Source organism: Homo sapiens, chromosome 4 (assembly GCF_000001405.40).
Source record: "Homo sapiens chromosome 4, GRCh38.p14 Primary Assembly".
Lineage (NCBI taxonomy): Eukaryota > Metazoa > Chordata > Mammalia > Primates > Hominidae > Homo > Homo sapiens.
The window spans coordinates 189678022-189692715 of NC_000004.12; the positions used below are offsets into that span (position 1 = coordinate 189678022).

At 42.6% G+C, this 14694-nt stretch overlaps 2 annotated features.

The window, feature by feature from the left end:
• Positions 7524-8723: an enhancer, noted in NCBI's record as "BRD4-independent group 4 enhancer chr4:190606699-190607898 (GRCh37/hg19 assembly coordinates)". NCBI's record gives its function as "activates an origin of replication core promoter dependent on BRD2, P300/CBP, MED14 and CDK7 cofactors, and independent of BRD4, by STARR-seq in HCT116 cells {active_cell/tissue: HCT116}" and the evidence as "EXISTENCE:reporter gene assay evidence [ECO:0000049][PMID:35650434]".
• Positions 9237-10436: an enhancer, noted in NCBI's record as "BRD4-independent group 4 enhancer chr4:190608412-190609611 (GRCh37/hg19 assembly coordinates)". NCBI's record gives its function as "activates an origin of replication core promoter dependent on BRD2, P300/CBP, MED14 and CDK7 cofactors, and independent of BRD4, by STARR-seq in HCT116 cells {active_cell/tissue: HCT116}" and the evidence as "EXISTENCE:reporter gene assay evidence [ECO:0000049][PMID:35650434]".

Genomic DNA, 14694 nt, shown 5'->3' on the forward strand with positions numbered 1-14694 from the left:
GCAGAGTGGAAATCACCTGAGTTTCCATCAGGCAGAGTTGCGCTTGAATTTGAGTTCTGGCATTTGCTGAGCCTCTCTGATTCTGTCTTCTGTAAAATAGGAGTAATAATATTTATTTATATCTACCGTACAGGCAATTGTGAGATTTACTTAAGACATACTTTGTCCATTTTTCTGTTGCTTATAACAGAATACCTGAAACTAGGTGACTTATTTTTAAAAAGCTAATTTCTTAGAGTTATGAAGGCTCAGAAATCCAAGGATGGGGGTCTGCAGCTGGTGAGGGCCTTCTCGCTGATGGGAAATCAGAAAAGCCCTAAGGTGGTTCAGAGAACCACATGGCAAGGGGGCCGAGAATGCTAGCGTGTTAGCTCAGATCTCTCTTCTTCTTATAAGGCCACCAGTTCCTCTCCCATGATAACCCATTTATCCATTAACCCATTAGTTCTTTAATCCATGAGTAGATTGATTCATAAGGGGATAACCCCTGTGATCCAATCACCACTTAAAGGATGCCCCTCTCAATACTCCCATATCGGGGACAGTTGCAACACAAACAAATTAAGATGGCCTATTAGACACCCTAAATCTTACATCTTAAGGTGTTCTGTGATGTTGCAGTTCAACCCCCTCTCATTCCTCTCTACTCTTTTAGCAGTTACAAACAAACAAACTCACTCACCAAAGAAAACACCAAACAAACATACATCCAATAGTATTGTGTCCGGAATTGGTGGGTTCTTGGTCTAACTGACTTCAAGAATGAAGCCACGGACCCTTGCGGTGAGTGTTACAGTTCCTAAAGATGGTGTGTCCAGAGTTTGTTCATTCAGATGTTCAGATGGGTCCAGAGTTTCTTCCTTCTGGTGGGTTTGTGGTCTAACTGGCTTCAGGAATGAAGGTGCAGACCTTCACGGTGTTACAGCTCATAAAGATAGCGCAGACCCAAAGAGTGAGCAGCAGCCGCCAAAGACGGTGCAGACCCAAAGAGTGAGCAGCAGCAGGATTTATTGCCAAAGGCAAAAGAACAAATCTTCCACAATCTGGAAGAGGACCCTAGCCGGTTGCCACTGCTAGCTCGGGCAGCCTGCTTTTATTCCCTTATCTGGCCCCACCCACATCCTACTCATTGGCTCATTTTAGAGAGAGCTGATTGGTCCATTTTACAGAAAGCTGATTGGGCCGTTTTACAGATAGCTGATTGGTCCATTTTGACAGAGCGCTGATTGGTGCATTTACAAACCTTTCGCTAGACACAGAGCGCTGATTGGTGCATTTACAATCCTTTAGCTAGACAGGAAAGTTCTCCAAGTCCCCACCAGATTAGCTAGACACGGAGCGCTGATTGATGCGGTTACAAACCTCTAGCTAAACAGAAAAGTTCTCCAAGTCCCCACCCGACACAGAAGCCCAGCTGGCTTCACCTCTCAATGACACTTGCCCTGAGGCTTTGCGGCACCTAGCCTGGGTACTCCAGCAGCCCAGAGGGGGCAGCCCAGTAGGCACCGGCCGGCCACACCGAGTGTGGGCTCCTGAGCCTGCACCCACCCGGAACCAGCACTGGCCCGCGAGCATGCACAGCCCCGCTCCCACCTGTGCCTCTCCCTCCACACCTGGTGGGGAGCAGAGGGAGCCGCCGGGCCTCCGCCAGCCCCAGAGAAGGGCCCCCACAGCACAGCGGTGGGCTGAAGGGCTCCTGGAGCACCGCCAGAGCAGTTGCTGAGAGCCAGTGAGGGCTGCTAGCACGTTGTCACCTCTCAGTATTAACAATACAAATACTTTTTTGTCTTATTTGTCCTTTGACTTATTTATAACCAACAGAATGTAGAGAAAGTGATGCTGATGTTGAATGACTCTGGAGGCTAGACCAGAAAATGTTGAAGAGTATCAGAATATACAACCCTAATATATGTTACTTTTGCATAAATTTTATTTTTTAAATTTTTAATTTTTATTTTAAGCTGAAGGCAATTGAGAAAAAGAAGATGCGAGAAGAGCTGTTTACCCTTCCTCTATCTGCTTAAAAGCAAGGAATAAATTTCCATTATAAAGGTGTCCCCTTGTTCTCATACCAAGAAGAGGAGACAGCATCAAGATTACTCTACATAAAGAAACCTAACTAAATAACCCTTTTCTATAATAGTTTCTCCCATGTATTTACCTTCCTACAATTTAATGCCCCTAGAAGCCCAAGCCCCTTTTCTTTGGTTGCTTCCCCACAATTTATCGTACTTTGTTAAAATGGTAGGTAAGCTCCTAAGTGTAACCACTTCTTTGGATTTTTTTAGTTCTTTCTCTGCAGTTCCCATGCATATAAAAATATTAACAACAAATAAAATTTGTATGCTCTTCATTCATTGGTCCTTCTTTTGTCAGTTTAATTCACAAATTAAGCTGCAGAACCTAAGAGGATGGAGGAAAAGTTTTCCTTTCTTACAAGATCATGTGGCATCTGCTTCACTTACTGAGGAGCCCCGAGCCACCATGTATAAAATCTGAATACCCGAAGACCCCCGTACTGTGAGGAAGCCCGACCACATGGAGAGGCCACATGAAGGTTCTCAAATCAGAACCCCACCTGAGGTCCCAGCCTACAACCAGTATCAACCACCAGACATGTGAGTAATGATGTTTCCAGTTGATTCCAACCAACAGCCTTTGGGTCACCTCCAGCCTTTGGATCTTTGCATCTGAAATGCCACACATGACAGAGCGGATACAAGCATTTCTGCTGTGTCCTGTCCAAGTCTCTGACTGATAGAATCTGGGCTTGTTCTAGGCACCTGAGTCTTGAGGTTGTTTGTTACACAGCCTCAGTAACTTGAACAACAGTTATGCAACACTTGAGCTAGACCTTGAAAGATGAATAGGGATTTTTGTCTAGCAAAACTGTTTGGAAAAGGCTTAATATTTTAGGAGAAAAGTTAAAAGGTAAGTGTGGTTAACACATGGGTTGTGGGAGAGAATCAGGAGATGAGATGAAAAAAGTTGATGTAAGAAAGTGTGCTGTATGGTTTAGTGAAAATTATATATTTGTTCATTAGCATAGGCAATTTTCTTCCAGACCGCTGGCTTTGAAATGATGTATTTTTAAAATTGCAAAGTTTATACCATAGAATTTCTGGAGGCTTCTGAAATTTCAATTGGAGATAAAACAGGACTTCAAAATGTAACTTCTCCTAAATTATGAGCTATGGTTTAACTGATGAGTAATTTTTAGTTTTATTGTTGGTTAAAAACACACTGTTATTCCCATGAGTGCTCACATCCAGTTTTAGCATGTGTGTGTGTGTTTCTTTTATTTTTTGTTTTGTTTTGTTTTGTTTTGTTTTGTTTTGTTTTGTTTGCGGTGGGCGGGTTGGTATCAGAGTTATGAATGAGAAGCATTCTTATCAGAATATACTGGATACTAATACATTTTGCGTGTAATTTTCTACAGAGGTATTGATTTTAATCAACTTTCAAGATGAAGCACCACATTTGTCAAGGCAGAAGACCCAAATGTGCAATTTTTTCTTAGGGGAAAACTGGCTATAATGAATGTGCTGAAATATATTAGTTATCTATTAACCTCAACACGCAAGAAAGCACTAGATCATTAGTTTGCCTGGTAAGGGAAAAAACAGGGGCTGCAGCCTGCCCAGCTACAGAAGAAAGTGGAATCAGCAGAACAAGTGGCCTGTGAAGATGCCAGCTTGTGAGAAATGCCTGGCTGACTGTGAACAGGGATATTATTAAATGGATGCATATGATGCATAGCGTAATTATACCACTTATGGCAGAAAAACATCACCATTTTATCAAATGCTCCACTGTGTACATCAAAGATCATGGTATCATCTATCTCTGGGATGCCATGTGAGCTTTGCAGTTCTGGAAGGGCTTCGAGTCAAGTTTTGATTAATTCTTGATGGTTTTATTTGATTATAGAAGTAGAGCTTGAACGTGTGTGTGCGTTTTCCCTTTTTCTTGTAAGAACTGACAATCTTGATTAAATTTCCCTTTTAGGAGTGGGAAGCAAGAAGCAAAGTAATTGTCACCACTTCTTGGAGAAGAATGGCTTATAGTGTTTTGAACATATCGTCTCAAAATAACCTCTTCGGAAGATTAGTGGAAAGAAGCAAAACTGTGAAGACCTTGGTTCACAGTAGCTGTTGATGTTTCTTTTTTTCATTTTGGTATTGATTATAATCGCTTCTTCATAAAGCTCAGATGCAGGGTTTATTTCCAGTTCTTTCACCGTGCTTCTTACCTCAGAGTCAAACCATTGCTATACTCTCCACATAGTTGGTTTCCAGTGTTTAAATTGCATGCGTGAGGTGCTCAGGTTTGTGACATTGCTTTACATATATTACTGTAAAAAAAAAACATAACCCCAAATCTAGAGTATATAAGGCTTTGTGCTAAGCAAGCATGGAAAAGAGTTACTTATGGCTTATATCCATGTGTGGACTATGATTGATAGAATTTCCCTTGCAATTGCCAAAGAGAAGTCTACATGGTCTTTGAAGAAACAAATTACCTATGACCCCATGTATTTGCATTTGTGCTCTTCCTAACTATATAGTAGTCTGAATTTAGTCCCCCAACGTAGGGGGATGTTTTAATGGACAAGCACTTAATTCATTTCAAGGTTTTGAGGATTTATCTTATAAGCACTTACTAAGCAGTGGTTATGTCCCAAGGCCAGGGCTGCACCCTGGAGACTCAGGGAGGCACAATACTTGATTTCATGGATCTCATAATCTAGTGCTATGGAAACATTAAAATATTAAAACCACAGTGGAGAAGAGCAGTGGATAGGTCTTAGGGAAGAAGACTTGTATGAAAGGTGATGCCTGAAATCATACTTAGTCATCTTTACATAGGACGATTTTTATGGAAGAATGAAATCTTCAGGATTGAATGATATTTTCATTTTAGCAAACTGGCCATCTCTTTTCTTTGAGCTTATAAACATGGTTGAATGTGTCAAGTAGCGAGACAAGAAAAAAATACCTTTGAGTGACCTTGCTTTATTATGTGAAAAATGACAAACTGGCAGGCAGGAAAGATACATGGCTTACCATGTATCTTTCAATTTTTGGGATGTACTAAAAAATTCAATGCAGTTACCACATAGAAGCAAGAGCTAGAGAAGTTCTGAGAGAATTTTTAATCTTTAGGTCAGACAGCAAGGATGTGAGGCGGTGAAGTTAAATTACACTGAGTCACATTGACGTTGACTAGTCTGATAGATACAGAAACACACAATTACCTTCACTCACAGAGTTTCCTAGGGCTGCAGGAACAAAGCGCCATAAGCTCGGTGGCTCAAAACATTTGGAAATGGTTCTCTCACAGAGTCACAGCCACGGAAGCTCCAAGTCTGAACTCAAGGTGTTGGCAGGGCTGTGTTCCCTCTGGAGGCCCTACGGAGGCCCCTTCCTCGTCTCCAGCTTCTGGTGGCTTCAAGTGTCCCGTAGTTTGTGACAGCAACACTCCAATCTCTGCCTCTGTCTTCACATGGCCTTCTCTGTGCATCTGTGTGTGTCAAATCTTTGTCTGTCTTTGTCTTATAAGGACACTTATTGGATTTAGGGACCACATGGATAATCCAAGATAACCTCATTTCAAAACCCTTAATTTTATAACATTGGCAAGACTTTGTTTGTTTGTTTGTTTGTTTTGCAAATAAGGCCATAGTCACAGGTTCCGGATGGATATATCATTTGAGGGGAGACAATTCAACTCACTATATACACAAACACATGTGTGTATCTATATAGCTGTATAATTGACACCATGAAATCATTAATAAAAACACTGCCCTTTTTTGAGACAGAGTCTCGCTCTGTCGCCCAGGCTGGAGTGCAGTGGCGCGATCTCGGCTCACTGCAACCTCCACCTCCCGGATTCAAGCAATTCTCCTGCCTCAGCCTCCCAAGTAGCTGGGATTACAAGCGCCCGCCACCACGCCTGGCTAATTTTTGTATTTTTAGTAGAGACGGGGTTTCACCATGTTGGCCAGGCTGGTCTCAATCTCTTGACCTGGTGATCCACCTGCCTTGGCCTCCCAAAGTGCTGGGATTACAGATGTAAGCTACCCCTCCCATATAAAACACTGCCCTTTCTATAGAAAAACTGGTCAAGTACTGGACAGTTTACTACAAAAGAAACAGTAAGTAGATAAAAAATGAAACCTAGGTTCAAAAGCATGAATAATGAATCTTGATTTTAATGATGGTTTCATCAGTGTATGCATATGTCCAAACTTATCAAATTGTACACTAAATATGTGTAGTTTTTTATATTGATTTTACCTCAACAAAGCTATTATAAATACAAATAATAAAAAGTGCAAATAAATTGACAAGATACAAATATATTTAAATATCAAAATGATAGAGATTAAAAAACTGTGCTGCTGGCCAGGTGCGGTGGCTCACACCTGTAATTCCAGCACTTTGGGAGGCCAAAGCGGGTGGATCACCTGAGGTCAGGAGTTTGAGACCAGCCTGGCCAACATGGTGAAACCACATCTCTACTAAAAATACAAAAATTAGCTGGGCATGATGGTGCACGCCTGTGATCCCAACTACCTGGGAGGCTGAGGCAGGAGAATCGCTTGAACCTGGGAGGCAGAAGTTGCAGTGAGCTGAGATCAGGCCGCTGTACTCCAGCCTGGGCAACAGAATGAGGCTCCATCTCAAAAAAACGACAGACAAACAAAAAACAGTGCTGTTGAGTGTGCATTGAGACAGGCATTTTCCAACACTGCCTTTCTGGAAGCAGGGAGGAGAGGCACAGAAATTTCAGCAAGGGTAAAGTCTTCATCCTGCAACCATATTTCTAGGAGTCTAGATAATTCGATATACAGGTAAAGTCACAGCATTTATTTAATCATGTTAATTAGTTATGTAACATATAATAAAATAATATTGTATGTTAATACATAATATAAATATATTATGCTAATACATTGATATATACACACTTAGTCCTTCTATCTGTTACTAAAGGGAGCTCACGTGGCACCAACAAGGAAACACACACTTAGTCCTTCTATCTGTTACTAAAGCGAGCTCACGTGACATCAACAAGGAAACACACTTAGTCCTTCTATCTGTTACTAAAGGGAGTTCACGTGACATCAGCAAGGAAACACAGTCTTATCTGTTACTAAAGCGAGCTCACGCGACATCAACAAGGAAACACAGTTAGTCCTTCTATCTGTTACTAAAGGGAGCTCACGAGACATCAACAAGGAAACACAGTTAGTCCTTCTATCTGTTACTAAAGGGAGCTCACGTGACATCAACAAGGAAACACACTTAGTCCTTCCATCTGTTACTACAGGGAGCTCACGTGACATCAGCAAGGAAACACAGTACTATCTGTTACTAAAGGGAGCTCACGTGACATCAAAAACGAAACACACTTAGTCCTTCTATCTGTTACTAAAGGGAGCTCACGCGACATCAACAAGGAAACACAGTCCTTCTATCTGTTACTAAAGGGAGCTCACGTGACATCAACAAGGAAACAAACTTAGTCCTTCTATCCGTTACTAAAGTGAGCTCATGTGACATCAACAAGGAAACACAGTTAGTCCTTCTATCTGTTACTAAAGCAAGCTCACCTGACAACAACAAGAAAATACACACTTAGTCCTTTGTATCTGTTACTCAAGCGAGCTCATGACATCAACAAGGAAACACACACTTACTCCTTCTGTTACTAAAGGGAGCTCATGTGACATCAACAAGGAAACACACAGTTAGTCCTTCTATCTGTTGCTAAAGGGAGCTCATGTGACATCAACAAGGAAACACAGTTTGTCCTTCTATCTGTTATTAAAGGGAGCCCACGCGACATCAACAAGGAAACACAATCAGTCCTTCTATCTGTTACTAAAGGGAGCTCACGTGACATCAGCCAGGAAACACACTTAGTCCTTCTATCTGTTACTAAAGGGAGTTCACATGACATCAGCAAGGAAACACAGCCCTTCTATCTGTTACTAAAGGGAGCTCACGCGACATCAACAAGGAAACACAGTCCTTCTATCTGTTACTAAAGCGAGCTCACATGACATCAACAAGGAAACACAGTTAGTCCCTCTCTCTGTTACTAAAGCGAGCTCACGTGACATCAACAAGGAAACACACTTAGTCCTTCTATCTGTTACTAAAGGGAGTTCACGTGACATCAGCAAGGAAACACAGTTAGTCCTTCTATCTGTTACTAAAGGGAGCTCACGAGACATCAACAAGGAAACACAGTTAGTCCTTCTATCTGTTACTAAAGCGAGCTCACGCGACATCAACAGGGAAACACAGTTAGTCCTTGTATCTGTTACTAAAGCGAGCTCATGCGACATCGACAAGGAAACACAGTCTTATCTGTTACTAAAGGGAGCTCACGTGGCATCAACAAGGAAACACAGTTAGTCCTTCTATCTTTTACTAAAGCGAGCTCACGTGACATCAACAAGGAAACACACTTAGACCTTCTATCTGTTACTAAAGCGAGCTCACGTGACATCAACAAGGAAACACACTTAGTCCTTCTATCTGTTACTAAATCGAGCTCACGCAACATCAACAAGGAAACACAGTCCTTCTTCCTGTTACTAAAGGGGGCTCACGTGACATCAACAAGGAAACACACTTAGACCTTCTATCTGTTACTAAAGCGAGCTCATGTGACATCAACAAGGAAACACACTTAGTCCTTCTATCTGTTACTAAAGTGAGCTCACGCGACATCAACAAGGAAACACAGTCCTTCTATCTGTTACTAAAGGGGGCTCACGTGACATCAACAAGGATACACACTTAGTCCTTCTATCTGTTACTAAAGCGAGCTCATGCGACATCAACAAGGAAACACAGTCCTTCTATCTGTTACTAACGCGAACTCACGTGATATCAACAAGGAAACACACTTAGTCCTTCTATCTGTTACTAAAGCGAGCTCACGCGACATCAGCAAGGAAACACAGTCCTTCTATCTGTTACTAAAGGGGGCTCATGTGACATCAACAAGGAAACACACTTAGTTCTTCTATCTGTTACTAAAGCGAGCTCATGTGACATCAACAAGGAAACACACTTAGTCCTTCTATCTGTTACTAATGCGAGCTCACGCGACATCAACAAGGAAACACAGTCCTTCTATCTGTTACTAAAGGGGGCTCACGTGACATGAACAAGGAAACACACTTAGTCCTGCTATCTGTTACTAAAGCGAGCTCATGCGACATCAACAAGGAAACACAGTCCTTCTATCTGTTACTAAAGCGAGCTCACGTGACATCAACAAGGAAACACACTTAGTCCTTCTATCTGTTACTAAAGTGAGCTCATGTGACATCAACAAGGAAACACAGTCCTTCTATCTGTTACTAAAGGGGGCTCATGTGACATCAACAAGGAAACACACTTAGTCCTATCTGTTACTAAAGCGAGCTCATGTGACATCAACAAGGAAACACACTTAGTCCTTCTATCTGTTACTAAAGGGAGTTCACGTGACCTCAGCAAGGAAACACAGTCTTATCTGTTACTAAAGTGAGCTCACGTGACATCAACAAGGAAATAGACTTAGTCCTTCTATCTGTTACTAAAGGGGGCTCACGTGACTTCAACAAGGAAACACAGTTAGTCCTTCTATCTGTTACTAAAGCAAGCTCACATGACATCAACAAGGAAACAGAGTCCTTCTATCTGTTACTAAAGGGGGCTCACGTGGCATCAACAAGGAAACACACTTAGTCCTTCTATCTGTTACTAAAGGGAGCTCACGTGGCATCAACAAGGAAACACAGTTAGTCCTTCTATCTGTTACTAAAGCGAGCTCACGCGACATCAACAAGGAAACACACTTAGTCCTTCTATCTGTTACTAAAGCGAGCTCACGCGACATCAACAGGGAAACACAGTTAGTCCTTGTATCTGTTACTAAAGCGAGCTCATGCGACATCGACAAGGAAACACAGTCTTATCTGTTACTAAAGGGAGCTCACGTGGCATAAACAAGGAAACACAGTTAGTCCTTCTATCTTTTACTAAAGCGAGCTCACGTGACATCAACAAGGAATCACACTTAGTCCTTCTATCTGTTACTAAAGCGAGCTCACATGACATCAACAAGGAAACACACTTAGACCTTCTATCTGTTACTAAAGCGAGCTCGCGTGACATCAACAAGGAAACACACTTAGTCCTTCTATCTGTTACTAAATCGAGCTCACGCGACATCAACAAGGAAACACAGTCCTTCTTTCTGTTACTAAAGGGGGCTCACGTGACATCAACAAGGAAACACACTTAGTCCTTCTATCTGTTACTAAAGCGAGCTCATGTGACATCAACAAGGAAACACACTTAGTCCTTCTATCTGTTACTAAAGTGAGCTCACGCGACATCAACAAGGAAACACAGTCCTTCTATCTGTTACTAAAGGGGGCTCACGTGACATCAACAAGGATACACACTTAGTCCTTCTGTTACTAAAGCGAGCTCATGCGACATCAACAAGGAAACACAGTCCTTCTATCTGTTACTAACGCGAACTCACGTGATATCAACAAGGAAACACACTTAGTCCTTCTATCTGTTACTAAAGCGAGCTCACGTGACATCAGCAAGGAAACACAGTCCTTCTATCTGTTACTAAAGGGGGCTCATGTGACATCAACAAGGAAACACACTTAGTCCTATCTGTTACTAAAGCGAGCTCATGTGACATCAACAAGGAAACACACTTAGTCCTTCTATCTGTTACTAAAGCGAGCTCACGCGATATCAACAAGGAAACACAGTCCTTCTATCTGTTACTAAAGGGGGCTCACGTGACATCAACAAGGAAACACACTTAGTCCTTCTATCTGTTACTAAAGGGAGCTCACGTGACATCAGCAAGAAAACACAGTCCTTCTATCTGTTACTAAAGGTAGCTCACGTGACATCAGCAAGGAAACACAGTCCTTCTATCTGTTACTAAAGGGAGCTCACGTGACATCAGCAAGGAAACACAGTCCTTCTGTCTGTTACTAAAGGGAGCTCACGCGACATCAACAAGGAAACACAGACCTTCTATCTGTTACTAAAGCGAGGTCACGTGACATCAACAAGGAAACATACAGTTAGTCCTTTGTATCTGTGATTTGTGCATGTGCTGATTCAAGCAGCCACGAGTCAAAAATATTTGCAAAAAAAGCCCTTTAAACTGTATTGAACATATACAAAGTTTTTCTTTTTATTATTCTCTAAATGACACAGTGTAACAACGATTTGCATAGCATTTACATTGTAGTAGGTGTTACCAGTAATCTAGAGATGATTTAAAGTATAGGGAGAATGTGCATAGTCTACGCTGAATACTACACAACTGCATATCAGGGACTTGAGCGTCTAGGGATTCTGGTATCTGGGGGAGGTCCTGGATCCAATTTCTCATGAATATCGACAGATGACTGTATGTTGTATCTTGATGCAATGAATAAACAAAGCAGATAACAGTAACTGACATGGGGTAGAAGGTGAGGGGAAATGAAGGGGTTGCTATTTATATGTTTACATGGGATGAACAGGGCAGACCCCACAGAGGGGATATTTAACAGAAGCTAAACGTACGAGAAGCAGTCCTGAGAACTGTAGACCAAGAGAGCTCGTGGTGGCCCTGGGAAGGGGCTTGTCAAATCTCGTGGCCCCTAGGGGCTGGTGACTGTTAGCGGCTGGCCAACAGCCAGCTGCCGCCCTGAAATCTACCACTGTCAGCCGGTAACCCACCATGGTGGAGTATAAAGGCAGGCCTGCTGCGAGGAGATGAAAGACTCCTCTGCTGGGCAGCCTGGGCTGGAGGGTTCTACTACCAGCCTTGCCAAAAGTTTCTCAGAATTGCACTGCATTTTAAGACTTTGCCTGCCCAGCCCCCTGCAGCCCCTTCTCATTTTCCTCCACATGCACTTCTCCCAAATAATCTCTTGAGTGGCAAATACCATTCCGGTGTTTGCTGCTCCAAGAGCCCAGATGTACACAGTGTTCCAAGAGAGGCTGCACAAATACAGTGGCCCCGAGGAGCTTGGCATTTTCGAGGAGCATCAAGGAGGCCAGCGTGGCGTTCATGGAAAGGACAGAGGGAGAGTGGGAGATGAGGTCAGAAATGTACTTGAAGTCCTTGCCGAAGAAAAATCGTTGACTTGCTTATTATAAAACCCTTTTTGTTAAGGAAGAAATAAAAACTGTTAACCAATGGCATCTGTATCCATTACAGAATTTAAAGGCAGGGTATCATACAGCCAGTACCTTACAGTCTTCCCATTAGCAGCATTCAACACATCTGTCCAGGTAGTAAACCTAAGTGGCCCAGCTCTGGGCCATTAAATTTTGATGTAACCCATTAAGGAAACTTACGGCCTTAGTTCAAAGGGCTGTTGCCATTGTGTCTGTGAGAGCGGTGCTGCAGAGTGCATTTTATGCAAATCTCATAGATTTTAATGAGTGATCCTGCTTAATAAGCTAGTTAGACCATTTGGGCATTTACTTGAGAGTGACCACAAATGCCTTTTTCTGAAACCATTTTACAGTGCTAACATTTCACTGAAATAGCACTTAACACGGAGCCAGGCACACAGTGAGCACTAAGAGTGTTACATGACTGATGACAGGGATGAAGAACAGGAGTCTTACCAGGTGTGTCAGTCTCGATGCTCCTGAATGACCCAGACAAAAAGGGACTAGAAACTTTCTTTTCAGGAGTTTGTGGCTTAGATCCCTGTTTCACCACAAAGCATGAGCTTGACACAGCCTGGACTTGACAGCACTTTCCACAGGGCACTTAAAAATACTTGTACCTCCTCTCTTTTACCTCCATAAACCATGACAGGTCTTTGCTCAGCCTCTGATAAGCAAAAGATTAGAAAATCCCTTTAAACTTCAGAAACAGAGCAATGCTCAGTCAGGCGATAAAAGCTGCAGAAATTGGTCTTGAATATTATCACTGTGTATCAACTGAAGTCAGATGAAGAGCTCCACATTCATCCAAAGTTCTTTTCATACTAATTAGATGCTCTTCAAAGGTGTAATTACCATTTAAAAATGACTTTGGAGTGCAGGATACACAATAGATTTTTAATGTCTTTTAATTTATTTCGATGTTTCTCATATTTCATTAGTACGTTCTTATTTTACCAATGAGTCACAGGACTTTCAAGGACTTTTCCCTCTCCCACAGTTAAAATGCTAAGCAGAAGCTAAGCTCACGTGAAAAACTTGTCTCAATAACCAGAGAAAGACTATACTAATTACAATTTGGATTGTGTGGATTATCAATTTGTCCGATACTCCGTTTGCCTCCACCTTGAGGAGAGAACTATTTCCAGCCCCAGAGTCAAGCTGCCTCATTGCACGGAAGAGGGAGTAAAATAAGAAGCCTGGTGATGTGCTTATTGTCACAATTTGTGGTACAGCTGACACTTAGACTACATCTGCCCTTGAAGCTCAACTTCTTTGCCCTACTCCTGTGGTGTTTCTTGGCATCTGGTATCATTTCAAAAGGATAAGAATGGCATAGAGAAGGTTTCTCATTGCTAAGCATGGAGTAGGAATATTTTAGTGAAATGTGTAAGTTTTGGGGCGGAAGTAAAAACACCCCATCTGCTCTTCCACACTTGGAGAGAGCTGCACACAAAGCAGCAACTTGGCTCTGGGCGGCAGCTGGCTGAGGTCTCATGGTCTGGAGGACAGCCCCTGGCTTTCACATCGTCCGTGTCTTGCCATTTCTCTTTGGATAAGGCACAAATGTCTGAAGATATCCTCCAGGCCCGAGGACCTGCTCCTATTCTATCCAGTCTCGTCTTTCATGAGCCACTGTGCTTCAGCCACTGCTTTTCCTTCCACCCCTTTGTCTTTCCTTTTTCCCAGGTATAAGGCCTTTGCACTTTCTAAACCCTCTCCTGCGTCTAGTGGGGACTTGGAGAATCTTTGTGTCTCCCTAAGGGATTGTGGATGTACCAATCAGCAACCTGTGTCTAGCTCAAGGTTTGTAAATGCACCAATCAGTGCTTTGTGTCTAGCTAACCTAGTGGGGACTTGGAGAACTTTTGTGTCTAGCTCAGGGATTGCAAATGCACCAATCAGCACCCTGTCAAAATGGACCAATCAGCTCTCTGTAAAATAGACAAATCAGCTCTCTGTAAAATGGACCAATCAGCAAGGTGTAGGTGGGGCCAGATAAGGGAATAAAAGTAGGCTGCCTGAGCCAGCAGTGGTAACCTGCTAGGGTCCCCTTCTGCACTGTGGAAGCTTTGTTGTTTTGCTCTTTGCAATAAATCTTGTTTCTGCTCACTCTTTGGGTCCACATTGCCTTTATGAGCTCTAACACTCATCGCGAAGGTCTACAGCTTCATTCCTGAGCCAGCCAGACCACGAACCCACCAGGAGGAATGAGCAACTCCAGACAAGAGGAAGGAGCAAACTCCGGACACACCGCCTTTAAGAACTGTAACGCTCACTGCGAGGGTCCGTGGCTTCATTCTTGGAGTCAGTGAGACCAAGAACTCACCAATTCCTGACACAAAGAGAGGCCTAAGAAACCATCTAGGCCAATGCTATGGTTTTGGAGTTCAGGACATTGTGGCTTAGAGACAATAATGGATCTGCCTAAAATCACAACACAAACTAGTACCAGTTCTTGAATGAAAATGTA